Below are 13965 nucleotides of genomic sequence, written 5' to 3'. Positions count from 1 at the left end.
CAAAGAAGGAGGAGGTTTACCCAGCTTTCTCCGTGGGAAAGTAGGAAGGTAAGGCATTTGCTCTCGCAAAAACTACAACCAATGGGGAACTCTGCCCACACAGAGAAAGGAAGGAGGGGAGGAAGGAAGGAGGGAAGGAAAGAAGGAAAGCAGGAAGGTATTAGGGAGCAGTGAGGGAGGAGGAGGAAAAAGAGGAAAGGAAGAAAGAGAGGGAAGGAAGAAAGGAGGGAGGGAGGAAGGGAGTGAGAGAAGAAAGGAGGGAGAAGGGGAAGAAAGAAAGGAGGGAAAAGGGGAGGGAAGAAAGGAGGAAGAAGGGGAGGGAAGAAAGGAGGGAGAAGGGGAGGGAAGAAAGGGAGAAGGGGAGGGAAGAAAGGGAGAAGGGGAGGGAAGAAAGGGAGAAGGGGAGGGAAGAAAGGAGGGAGAAGGGGAGGGAGGAAAGGTGGGAAGGAGAAAAGGTTAGACATTGAAGAGCATCCCTTCTCAGTAAAAGGTAAATGCTCACTATGGCATCTCTAATTATGAATATGCATTTGAGTTTTTGGTCTTATTGAGGCTAAGGAGTTCTAAGAAGAGAGTAGCAATTTTTCTACTATTCACATGAAGATGGGACGATCTGAAGTGTATGAAGAGAAGAGCCTTCTTTTTTGCTACCTACCTTGACATGATTAACATTGTCAGGAAATAACTTTCTTTTGCTCTTGATAGCTAATGAATTAAGTTTTGCTTTGGTTTTACTTTTGAAACAGATTATTTGTAAGAACATCAGTGGATTTTTAGAGAAAATAGATGTTTTTAAAACAGCTTTATAGAAAGTGGTTGATGTTCTCAGCAAAACATTGTCTCCATACCTTTAATTTTAAAAATTCTCCATTTTCATCATTTCAGTTATACTCAGATACAAATAACTTTCAAATTTATATTAATATTTTTAGCCCATATATCTCCCCATACTTCTAATTCATATGTGCAGCTGATACCAGGATGTTGACCCCTGAATCCTATCCAAAACTATTTTCTCCCTAGCAAGTTTCTTCTCCTTTATTTTATCTCAGCAATGCTGTTATCATCATCTACCCTTCAAGACAAATACTGAAAGATGTATTTGATTCCTTCTTCTTCCCATCTACCGGCAATCAGTTGACAAATGTCTTTTATTTTTCCCTTTAAATATTTTTCTGATGCACTCTCTCCTCTTAATTCCAATGTGTTGACTTGACTTACTTCAGGCTTTTATCATCTCTCACCTGGGCTTTGACAGTATCTCCCAACTGTCCTCCCTAACTCCAGACTTATTCCCTTGAATCCACCTACCACATAGCTAAGAATGATCCATCTACAATGCAAGGCTATGTCACTCCCATTGCTCCTTAATAGACTTGCAAGACCTTGGATGATCTGACCCAGCCTACATCTCTAAACACATCTTTGCTTCTCCCACCTTTAAGTTACTCATTGTTGAACTGGTGATCTTCCCTTGAGAATTGGGAAGACATGGAGAGACTTGTGATGATTAAGTCAAGATTCATTTGCCCTTTCCCTGCCATCCTTCTGCCACCAACACCATGGAACAGCCTAAAAGAGGATGAAAGACCAAAGCATTCACACCATACCCCCCAATACACACACACACACACACACACACACACACACACACACACACACACACACAGATTCTAAATCTCTTAAGCCACACGGAAGTTTAAAACAAGACTGGATTAAGTTTCAGAGAACGAAAGTGACCTGATGACTGTGGAATCTACCCGACATAGTTAAGGGTTGTTAAAAGAAAATTAGATATAACACAACTGAAAGCAGTGGTTTTACAAAGTAAGACCAGTTTATGTTTAAATCCCAAAGAACTGAGATTTAACGAACTGATTATATTCCATTCAGGCATTATCTCTCTTTTTTTCTAGAAAGTTTTTCCTGACCTCCCTCCCGATTGACTGATACACTCCCTTTTAACCTTCTCTACCCCAGCACTCATGTGCTTGTTTCTCCTGTTGAGTTGTGAGCTGCTTTTGAGGCTAGGATTGACTCTTACTCATCTTCATTTTTATACAGTGCCTGGCACCCAAATGGTTCTTATTAAATGGGTGTTGCATGAATGAGTGATGGATGATGGATTCACTTAGCAAAATCCCAGAAATGCTAAATCACAGTGACTAATTTCAAGTGACTTCCAAAGTTGCTGATATTTTAGGCTGTATTATTTATTAATGTTTTCTGATTTTCAGTGTAAAATATGTTGGGATTGAAAACATTTTATTACCCTACGCATACCTATTTTCAGATTTATATGTATTTTCAACATTTTTGAGATAATTCAGTCATTTTTATGGTCACTGTATTTTTAAATTTGTTTTGTAGGTTTTCGAAACTTACATATTGATGACCAGATAACTCTCATTCAGTATTCTTGGATGAGCTTAATGGTGTTTGGTCTAGGATGGAGATCCTACAAACACGTCAGTGGGCAGATGCTGTATTTTGCACCTGATCTAATACTAAATGAGTAAGTAGTAACTTTTGTTGTTTTTGTTATTTTAAGTGTACATGTAGGATAATTTTGAAAGTTATATTTCAATAGATGATCACATATTTAGTGTTCTTGATATGATGACATTACTGTCATTTTACGGTAATTTTATATTTGGAGCTTTTTCCTCTTGTTTCAAAATATAGTTATATCAAATCCAATTTTCTTACACATCAAGAATGTATCAAGAAATATATTTAAAGATAAACTTAAATGTTTCATTAATCAATTTAAAATTTCATAGCTTGGTACTAATGACAATAATAAATGAGAAATATTTTTGTTACTGACTTACATTCAAAAAGTAAAAACATCTTTCTTCATACATGACAAATTAGACTGCTAATTTATTTAAAAAATTGAAAGATAAATATTTCAATTTGCTTTATATTTAAATAATTTTAATTAATTTTCTACCTACAACCTTTAACTGAATAAGAATCTTTTCATGGTAATATTTATATTGTTCTAGTGGTAAATGCTGACTTAGAAGTATATAACTCACACTTATATAAGTCTTTACAGTTTTTAGATAATTTTCATGTTTCATTACATTTTATCCAACAATTCCTTGAGATAAGTAAGGAATCAGCATTCTTCATTGTACAGTTTAGAAAACTGAGTCTCAGGAGAATTATATAATCTGCCAAATAATTTGAATGACAGTGAGATTCCTTATCTCTTTTTAGCCAAAATCTAGTTTTCATTATTCTTGTTAGCTTCATTTGACTAATGTGGACATTATAAAACAACACAAGGTTGGGAAAATGCCTTAATTAAATTTTCTCAGCCTTCAGCACTTGTGTTTAACTTTGTCAATTAATTAATGCTTGCCAATGTCCTCTTTTACTCTTTTCTGTATCATTGTATATTTCCCTAGAAAAGTTTAAAATATGGTAAGCTTTGTGAACTGACTTCTCCTATTTAATTGCACACAAAATTATATAATTTTTCATAGAAAATAAATTGTAAGTAAATAAAACATTTCTGAGCATTCTTCAGCTTCACATTCTCAACTCCTACACCTCTGCTGTGTTTTCTTGGTTTAGGTATTTAAAGTGTGATAATAAAAGTGAGAAACAATGTTAATCTTGGTCACTGTGTATTTAATATAATTTTCTAGTTTTAAGATTTCTTAACCTCAAAAATTCAGTATTGTGAAAAGTTTAGAAGATGTTTAAAATTCCAAATATTGGGTTTGTTTATTAAAAGTAGTAGTCATTTTCAATAATATGTAAGGTAATTACCAAAACCATATTCCCTGATAAATTACCTAAACTGGCTGAGACACTATTTTTTTTCCTGTTGCTTTTTCTTTTGTGTATTGTGTGTGATGCAAGACAGCGGATGAAAGAATCATCATTCTATTCATTATGCCTTACCATGTGGCAGATCCCACAGGAGTTTGTCAAGCTTCAAGTTAGCCAAGAAGAGTTCCTCTGTATGAAAGTATTGTTACTTCTTAATACAAGTGAGTGAGTTCAAGTAACTTAATGCAAGATATCTAGTTTCTTAATTCATTAGAAAAGTTGCAAACAATATGATTATATAGTTATGTATGAGGTAGACGTCTTGGATTATAAGTATAAAGAAGAAATACCCAATATATTGTTATAGACATTAATAAAATTACTGGATTTTTTCATCTTTTACCTACCATATAATACTAAAATAGCCTCATCAATTTCTTTTTATTTTAGATAAAATGATTTAATTACTCTTTCATATTCACCTAATTCAGTAATATAAACTACAGTCATGTGCCACATAATAATATTTTGGTCAACAACAGACCACATATACAATGGTTCCCTAAGATGATAGTGGAGCTGAAAAATTATCATCGCCTAGTCCTGTTATAGCCACCATAACATCATAGCACAATGCACTAATCACATGTTCGTGGTGATACTAATGTAAACAAACCTACTGTGCTGCCAGTCATATAAAGTATAGCACATACAATTATGTACAGTACATAGTACTTGGTAAAGATAATAAAAAACTCTTACTGGTTTATGTATTTACTGTAGTATACTTTTCTATTGAGAGTCACTACTTCTACTTTTTTTAAGTTAACCGCAAAACAGCCTCAGGCAGGTCTGTCAGAGGGATTCCAGAAAAGGGCATACGTCACCCTGGGAGATGACAACTCCGTGTGTGTTACTGCCCCCTGAAGACCTTCCAGTGAGATAAGATGTTGGGGTGGATGACAGTGATATTGATGATTCTGACTCTGTGTAGGTCTAGGCTAATGTGTGTTTTGGGTATTAGTTTTTTTAAAAAAAGTTTAAGCAAAAAAGAAAATATTTAAAAATAGATAAAGTTTATAGAATAAAGATATAGAGAAAGAAAGCCAGGCACGGTGGCATGTGCCTGTAGTCCCCACTACTTGGGAGGCTGAGGTGAGAGGATCACTTGAGCCCAGGAGTTTTAAGTCCAGCCTAAGCAACATGTGAGAACTTGTCTCTAAAAAAAGAAAGAAAGAGAACTGTACCTTGTGTTTTTGTTTTTAACTAAATGTTATTACAAAAGAGTCAAAAAGTTAAAAAACTAGAGTTTATAAAGTAAAAAAGTTACGGTAAGGTAAAGCTAATTTATTATAAAAGAAATAAAAATATTTTTATAAATGTAGTGTAGCCTAAGTGTACAGTGTTTATAAAGGCTATCGTAGTGTATAGTAATGTCCTAGGCCTTCACATTCTGTCACCACTCACTCGCTGACTCACGCAGAGCAACTTCCAGTCCTGCAAGTTCCATTCATGTTAAGTCCCCTATGCAAGTGTCCCATTCGTATCTTTTATATTGGATTTTTACTATGCCTCTTCTGTGTTTAGATACAAAACACTTACCATTGTGTTACAGCTGCCTACAGTATTCAGTAATCACATGCTGTACAGGTTCATAGCCTAGGAATAAGGCCTAGGTGTATAGTAGTCTATACCATCTAGGTTTGTGTGAGTACACTCTGTGATAATCACACAGTGATGAAATCACATAAGGACACATTTCTCAGAATATATCCCCATCATTAAGTGATACACGACTGCAATTAATATTGGATAAGCACAAACCATACTCTCCTCTACCACCACTCTCACCCCATCCCCAAAGTATTTACTATATAAAATACATAATTTTGTTTAGAATTATTTTTATCAAGATAAATTGTTAAAACATGTAACTATAAAGATTAGCATCTTAATATAATAGTGGTTTCTTTATCACTGACACAGTCCAGTGAGTTAGCAAGAAACACCCAGGCTCCTTCTAGCCAGTGGCTTCACCCCTTCCTAGTGGCTTGCAAACCTCTATTGGACATGACTAGAAATGAGCACTGAGTGAGAGAGATTTTGAAGGCTAGATCTGAAACTATCATACATCACTTTCACCCACATTCCAAGGCACTTAAGCTGCAGGAAAAGCTGGGAAATACAGTCTAGCTATAGGCCCAGAAGAAAGAGGAAATTATGTTTTATAAAGCATTGCATTGATCACCAGAAGGACAGGCAAATATCCGTTCCACTTTTTCTTATATCCAAGGAACATACTTACCTCTGCCTCAGTGGATCCCCAAGGGTCTGGGTGGGCAAAGTTTTAAAAAAAAGAAAAAGCAGCTGCTTTGACCCTTGCATAGGCAGGATCAGCCCTCAAATGTACAAACTGATGCTTTTGTGATTCATTGTGATTTCTATGACAACCACAGGGAGCTAAGACCTCAGGCCGAGGGTGAGCCTAAGGTCTTTCTTGGCAACATCTTTACAGGGACTTCTTTCTAAGGTCCCAAATCTCAAATGGCTAGGGGGTGCAGATCAGGAGGGAAGGGCAGGAGAGATAAACCCTGAAATGGAAGGCTTCCTCATAGAATTTATGCAAAGACAGGGATGAATACATAACCATCTTGGGAACCCTATTTGGACAAGGAATTTCAAGGCTAATTTGGTGACAGAGCATCAATTGAACAAAGGATATTTACGTGGAACCGGCCCAGAGAGTCAACTGGAATACATTTAATAATACAGTAATTAGCTCCTGCCCTTCTTTGCATGAAGGAATGAATCCTATAGCACTTATGTCACAGATAGTCCTAGATCTTCCAAACTGGCTTATATCCTTAACATAATTCTCTATTTATGGATAGGCAACATTATGCTGGGGAATTAAACAACAATGGAATTAATCAACAGGGAGGCTTTGCTCATTGTTGTCACTTAGAAACTTAGGCGATCACTAGAGCAGTGGTAAGAAAAGGAAGTGAGATTCATACAACTTCCACTCACATACCATAGAGAGTAAGATTTTTAGCCATTTGCCACTTCACAAAAAGGAAGAAAAAGAAACTATTTAATGAATAGTACTTACGCTTTCCACAAATTCTAATCAAGATTCTAATGAGATTTGGGGAGAAGAGGGTGAACTTGACAAACCTACTGAAAATCCATCTTTAAAACTAGAAGAATAAATAGATAAGCATTATAAAAATATGCAGGGAATTAGAAAGCTGCTGTTAATTAATACAGCATGGGAGAAGAGATATACTGAACTTTTGGGCAAATCAGACAAGTATATATTAGAATATAAATAGTATAGTGGAAACCACAAATCAATGAGTCTGAAACAAATAAATGTTAAGAAAAATAGTTTTATATTTGGAAAAAAACTGTTTGGATATGTAGCTCAAATTATATCCTTGAATAACAGATAATTGAGTTAAATGTAAACACTCAAATAATTAAAAAACAAGCTAGAAGAAATAGAAATAATCTTCAATCTCAAATACCTTTTATAAAATAAATGCAAGGAGAAGATTGGCAAAGTAAAACTTTGATAATTTGGTAGTTATGAACTTAAACCTCTCATTTGCCATTAAATATGAAAATATAAATCTCCAGGAATAGACAGTAGGTTGAACAAACATTTTTACATTGTTCTCTCCAAAATTACACTAAAGGCCAGATGTAGTCGGTCACATTTCTAATCACACTTTGGGAGGGCAAGCTGGGCAGATGGCTTGAACCCAGGAGTTTGAGACCAGCCTAGGCAACTTGGAAAACCCCGTCTCTAAAAAAAAAAAAAAAAAAAAAAAAAAAAAAAAAAAAAAAAAAAATTAGCCAGGCGTAGTGGCAAGTGCCTGTAGTCCCAGGTAGCCGGGAAACTGAGGTGGGAGGATCACCTCAACCTAGGAAGTCGAGGCTGCAGTGAGCCATGATTGTGCCACTGTACTCCTGCCTGGGTGATTGAGTGAGACCATGTCTCAAAATAAAAATAAATAAATAAATAAATAAAAATAAATAAATTACACTAAAATCTTAGTAAAGGGATTTACTATGAAAAATTAAGAAAAAATGATTTTACATTCATGTTTACAGCTGAGGGAAATATAGGGATTGGTTGGTAACCTTAAAGAGAGCTGTGAAAGTTTGAAATGACTGCTATTTGAAGTAGTCCAGAAAATTAGTACAGCCTCTATGGAACACCATATGGAGATTTCTCAAAAAACTATAAATATAACTACCATTCTATCTAGCAATCCCACCACTGGATATCTACCCAAAGGAAAAGAAATCATTATGTCAAAAAGACACCTGCACTCTTGTTTATTACAGCAGTATTCACTATAGCAAAGATAGGAAATCAATCCAAGTGTGTATCAACAGATAATAGGATAAAGAAAATGTGATGTACTCACACATATACATACATACACACACACACACACACACACACACACACAAAATGGAATAGTATTCAGCAATCAAAAAGAATGAAAGTGTGTCTTTTGCAGCAACATGGATGGAACAGGAAGTCATTATCTTAAGTGAAACAATTCAGAGACAAAGTCAGATACCACATGTTCTCGCTTATAAGTGGGAGCTAAATAATGCATGTACATGGGCATAGAGTATAGAATAATTGACAGTGGTGCCTTAGAAGGCTGGAAAGGTAGGAGGGGGGTGAGACATTACCTAATGGATACAATGTGCATTATTGGGTGATGGTTATACCAAAAGCTCAGATTTCACCACTATGCAATATATTCATGTAACAAAACTGCACAGATGGTCATTAAATTTATACAAATTTAATAAAAAGAGGTTCTAGATATACATATAGATGTACATACTAGAGTTAAGTTTTCAATTGACAAAAATTTGCATAGATATACTGAATTGCCAGAATTACTCTTCAGAGTCTCCTTTATATACAAGATCTTGAAAACTCAAAACCAAAGAATTAACTTATTTGTTTTTCATAAGTTTGTATCTCTGGCCTTCTTTTCTAGGGGAAATGGAAACCAAGTTTTGATTGGGGTGCAGGGGATAAATACAGGCTTAAGAAATAGTAATTTTCCTCCCTGTTCCCTGAGATACAACAATATTGGAATTAGGCCAAGGCTGGGCATGGTGGCTCAAGCCCGTAATTCCAGCACTTTGGGAAGCTGAGGTGGGCGAATCACTTGAGGTGAGGAGTTCAAGACCAGCCTGGCCAATATAGTGAAACCCCATCTCTACCAAAAAGACAAAAATTAGTCGGACATGATGGCACACACTTGTAATCCTAGCTACTCAGGAGGCTGAGGCGGGAGAATTGCTTGAACATGGGAGGCGGAGGTTGCAGTGACCTGAGATTGTGCCACTGAACTCCAGCCTGGGCGACAGAGCAAGACCCTGTGTCAAAAAAAAAAAAAAAAAAAAAAAAGCAATTAGGCCAACTAACAATCTTGGAATGGCCTCTCAGTGTTCCAGTAAAAGAAAGAGTTGCAAGTCTGAGGTAGAAATGATTAAGCTTAATTAGGAAGGCATGTCAAAAGTTGATATAGGTTGAAAACTAGGTCTCCTGAGCCAAGCAACTAGCCAAGTTTCAAATACAAAGTAAGAGTTCTTGAAGGACTTTAAAAGTGCCATTCCAGTGAACACATGAATGATAAGCAAAACCGCCTTATTGCTGATATGGAGAAAGTTTTAGTGGTCTGAATAGAAGATCAAACCAGCCACAATATTCCCTTAAGCCTAAGCCTCATCCAGAGGAAGGCCCTGATTCTCCTCAATACTAGGAAGGCAAAGAGATGTAAGGAAGGAGCAGAAAAAAGTTTGAAGCTAGCAGAAGTTGGTTCATGAGATTTAAGAAGCCATTTCCATAACAAAGTATAAGGTGAAGCAGCAAGTGCTGATGCAGAAGCTGCAGCAAGTTACCCAGAAGATCTAGGTAAGATTATCGCTACTTATGAAAGTAGCTGTGCTAAAAAACAGGTTTTCAGGGTAGATAAAACAGCTTTCCACTGGAAGAAGATGTCATCTAGGACTTTCATAGCTACAGAGAACAAGTCAATGTCTGTCTTCAAAGCTTCAAATGACAGGTTGACTCTCTTGTTAGGGGCTAATGAAGCTGGTGACTTGAAGCTGAAGCTGGTGACTTGAAGCTGAAGCTAATGCTCATTTATCATTCTGAAGATCCTAAGGCCTTTAAGAATTACGCTCAATCTGTTCTGCCTGTGGTTTATGAATGGAACAACAAAGCTGGATGACAGCACATCTATTTATGGCATGGTTTACTGAATATTTTGACCCACTATTGAGACTTACTGCTCAGAAAAGAATACTACTTTCAAATATTATTGCTCATTGACAATGCACCTAGTCAGCCAAGAGCTCTTATGGATATATACAAGGAGATTAATGTTTTCATTTCTGCTAACACAACATTCATTCTGTAGTTCATAGATCAAAGAGTAATTTTCCACTTTCATGTCTTATTATTTAAGAAATATATTTTGTAAAGCTGTGGCTGCCATAGATAGTGTTTCCTCTGATGGATCTGGGTAAAGTAAATTGAAAACCTTCTAGAAAGGATTCACCTTTCTAGATGCCATTAAGAACATTCGTGATTCATGGGAGAAGGTGAAAATAGCAACATTAACAAGAGTTTGGAAGAAGTTTATTTCATCCCTCTTGCATGACTTTGAGGGTGTTCAAAACTTCAGTGGAGGAAATAACTACAGATATGTGAAAAGAGCAAGAGAACTAAAATTAGAAGTAAAGCCTGAAGACATGACTGAATTGAAGAGGTTTCGTGGTAAAACTTGAAAGATGAGGAGTTGTTTCTTATGGATGAGCAAAGAAAGTGGTTTCTTGAGTTGGAATCTACTTCTAGTGAAGATGCTATGAAGATTATTGAAGTGACAACAAAGGATTTCGGAGATTACATAAACTTAGTTGATAATGCAGCAGCAGGACTTAAGAGGATTGACTCCAATTATGAAAGAAGTTCTATTGTGGGTAAATTGCCATCAAACTGCTAGCATTGCATGCTACAGAAAAATTATTCACAAAAGAGTCAACTGATGCAGCAAACTTCATTGTTGCCTTATTTTGAGAAACTGTCATAGCCACCCCAACCTTCAGCAACCACCACCCTGGCCAATCAGCAGCCATCAACATTTAGACAACACCCTCCAACAGCAAAAAGATTTTGACTCAGGGAAGACTCAGATGATTGTTACCATTTTCTAGCAATAAAGTGTTTTTTAGTTAAGGTGTGTTCACTTTTTAAATAATGCTGTTGCACACTTAATACATTCTAGTATAGTGTAAATATAACTTCTACGTGGACTGGGAAACAAAAAGATGCATGTGATTCACTTTGTTGCAATATTTCCTTCATTGCCGTGGTCTGGAACCAAACCGGCTATATCTCCAAGATATGCCTGTGTAACAAAGTGGCTGGATATAAGATAAATATTTAAATATTAATACCTTTCTCCCATATCAGCAGGAAGGCATTAGAAAACTTAATGAAGCAATTTTTAAAATTACAACAAAAAGATAAATCATCTAGGAATAATCTTAATGGCAAATACTTGAGATTTATATAAAGAAGACAAAAGTTTACTAAGAGATCCAAGTATTCATTAAAAAGAAGGGAAAAAAAAGATCCAGATTACATGCAGCTGTAAACTAAGTCAAACCAAGTATTTAAGAAGCATGTAGAATAAGGCCAGGTTCTCTTTTGAGCAAATGCTAAGTTAAATGCACAATCCATTGATACAGGTCTAAAATAGGTCAGCTGAAGTGTTCTTTAATATACCTATTAATTCTTATGTTCTTCCAGTGAACTAGAAGTTTATATGTCCTGATATTGATAGTGATATCAATAACACTATCTCTTTCCTATATAAGGTGTTTTTTTTCTAGAGTCATGTATCAGAAGAAATCATTATATAGCTCAGAAATATATGTTATAAATTGTTAATGTCATCTTTTTATACACAACTGCCACTTTTAATTGTCTTCTTAACAGTTCCTTTGGAAGGGCTACGAAGTCAAACCCAGTTTGAGGAGATGAGGTCAAGCTACATTAGAGAGCTCATCAAGGCAATTGGTTTGAGGCAAAAAGGAGTTGTGTCGAGCTCACAGCGTTTCTATCAACTTACAAAACTTCTTGATAACTTGCATGATGTAAGTATTTGGTTGATTCCAGAATATCAATGATTATTCTCTGAATTTCTATAACTTTTTAAATGTTACATGTAAATTTTACTTTGTATGATTTTCTCAGATTAATACTTGTATGTTAAAAGTGTTTGGATCATGCTGCTCAGACTTTTTATTGTGTTTTTTTTTCATTTTCAATATAGACCACTCAAATATTCTTTTACAAGTATTTGTATAATGTGAGGGTAATTTAATAGCTGATAGAAATTATGGTACATTTCCTGAATATGTTCTAAAATATTTGTGCCTAAAATTATAAAAGATTTTATATATACAGTAAAAACAAAGGTATGTATGTGAAAAATAAGACTCATGCCATTTTCAGTGGAATTATAAATAACATTGCTGATGGGTGGGCAATCAGGCAATACATAGCAAAAGTTAAAATTTGCATGCTTTTCAAGTTTCTATTTTTTAGGATTTATCTTAAAGAAATAATTAGACAAATGTAATATACATGCAAGGATGTTCACCATAGCAGAGGGGGAAAAAAGAAAAGCAAACAAGAAATGCCCAACACCAGAGGTGGATTACTAAGACAAGATATCTGTGGTTTGTCAAGATATATGAAATACAAGCTTTTATTGCTACTATGTTCAGATCACATTAAAATGACAGTGAAGGCATAAAAAAGCTATCCACTCTCCAGGTCAACTTTTGAGGTCTTACTCCTGAATACGAACAGACAGCCAAGATTATGAGCTATTTGAGTAAAGCCTCTAAAATGAAAGGCAGAAAGCAAAATAAAAAGAAACTTGAAGGAAATAAACACCAGTGCAGAGAACAGAAGAAAACTTCTAACATCCTCAGAGAAATAAGAATGATACGGTATCCATGACATGAGAACAGAAAACATTTTTAAAACAGACATTTAGCAAGAAAATACTTTTGGATAATTAAATGAAGAAAGGCAGAAATTGAAAATTCAATGAAAGGGCTGAAATGGAAAGGAAAATCTGAGGAAAAATAAAAGATCAAAACATGGAAAATTAGAAAGAAGAGTTATAGTAAATTTAGTATTCAGGAGATTCTAGCCTCCAATTAATAGGAATGTCCAGAAGAAAAAATAGAGAAAATCAAGGAGAGAAATTTGTGTAAGAAATCGCAAAAGTTGCTGGAACTGAAACATACAAGTTTTCTAACAAAAAGGGTCCGGTGTAGAGGCACTGCACAATTGAACTAAGGTACATTATTGTAAAATTGTACCAGGCCAGAAATGAAGAGAATATTTTAAAGTATACCAGTGATGAAAGAAACAGGTCACATAGACGTTATCAGGATTCAGAATGATGTTGGACTTCTCTGCAGCAACACTGGAAGCCAGAAGACAGTGGAGCAGTGCCTTCAGAATTTGATGGAAAAGAAAATCTTCAAAGAATTTCATACCTAGCCAAACCATCAAACAAGTACAATGGCAGCATGAAAGTATTTTCCAACTTGCAAGGTCTCCTAGAGTTTACCTCAGATACAACTTTCTCAAGAACTGCTACAGGATGTCTTATAACAAAACATGGGATTAAGCCAAAGATCCACCCCAACAGAGATGCAAAGTGATGTCCCAGAACAATAACTGTGCAGAGCAGTAGTTAGTCTAGATGGGAGCAGTAATACAAAGGGTTCTAGGATACCAGCTCCAGGAAAAATAAATGGAACTGAGAGATTACCACTAAGTATGACTGTAATTGAGGTGATTTTTACAATTCTGTTGCAGAATTTGACTATGGCTTTGAGACAAATATAGAGAAAACAAAGCAAACAAGAACACGAGGTGATTCACTTTTGCAAAATAAAAATAAGTCGTAAGAATGGAGATGCAATCCAGCAGAAAACCATAAAAAAATCTTTATGATATAAATGCTGGATATTGACTTTAGCTAAAAATTGAGCCAAAAGCTCTCTCTGGGGAGAAGAGAACATGTATGTAGTTGAGGAAGA

The 13965-nt window shown here is 35.5% G+C and overlaps 1 protein-coding gene across 8 annotated transcripts in view; it reads left to right on the top strand.

Moving 5' to 3' along the window:
• The window catches only part of PGR (progesterone receptor), a 100190-nt gene that overhangs the window by 75875 nt on the left and 10350 nt on the right, over nucleotides 1-13965 (top strand). For 4 of the 8 annotated variants that reach the window (NM_001271162.2, NM_000926.4, NM_001271161.2 and 1 more), the window contains 3 exons: nucleotides 2371-2515; nucleotides 3880-4010; nucleotides 11837-11994. In NM_001271162.2, the coding sequence (NP_001258091.1) occupies nucleotides 2371-2515; nucleotides 3880-4010; nucleotides 11837-11994 (434 nt within the window). Of the gene's footprint in view, nucleotides 1-2370; nucleotides 2516-3879; nucleotides 4011-11836; nucleotides 11995-13965 lie in introns of those variants that run through there. The other 4 variants (NR_073142.3, NR_073141.3, NR_073143.3 and 1 more) reach the window with 3 other exon arrangements.

Source organism: Homo sapiens, chromosome 11 (genome assembly GCF_000001405.40).
Source record: "Homo sapiens chromosome 11, GRCh38.p14 Primary Assembly".
NCBI lineage: Eukaryota > Metazoa > Chordata > Mammalia > Primates > Hominidae > Homo > Homo sapiens.
The sequence above is the reverse complement of the archived record's forward strand: the minus strand, read 5'-3'. Positions and strand labels throughout refer to the sequence as shown.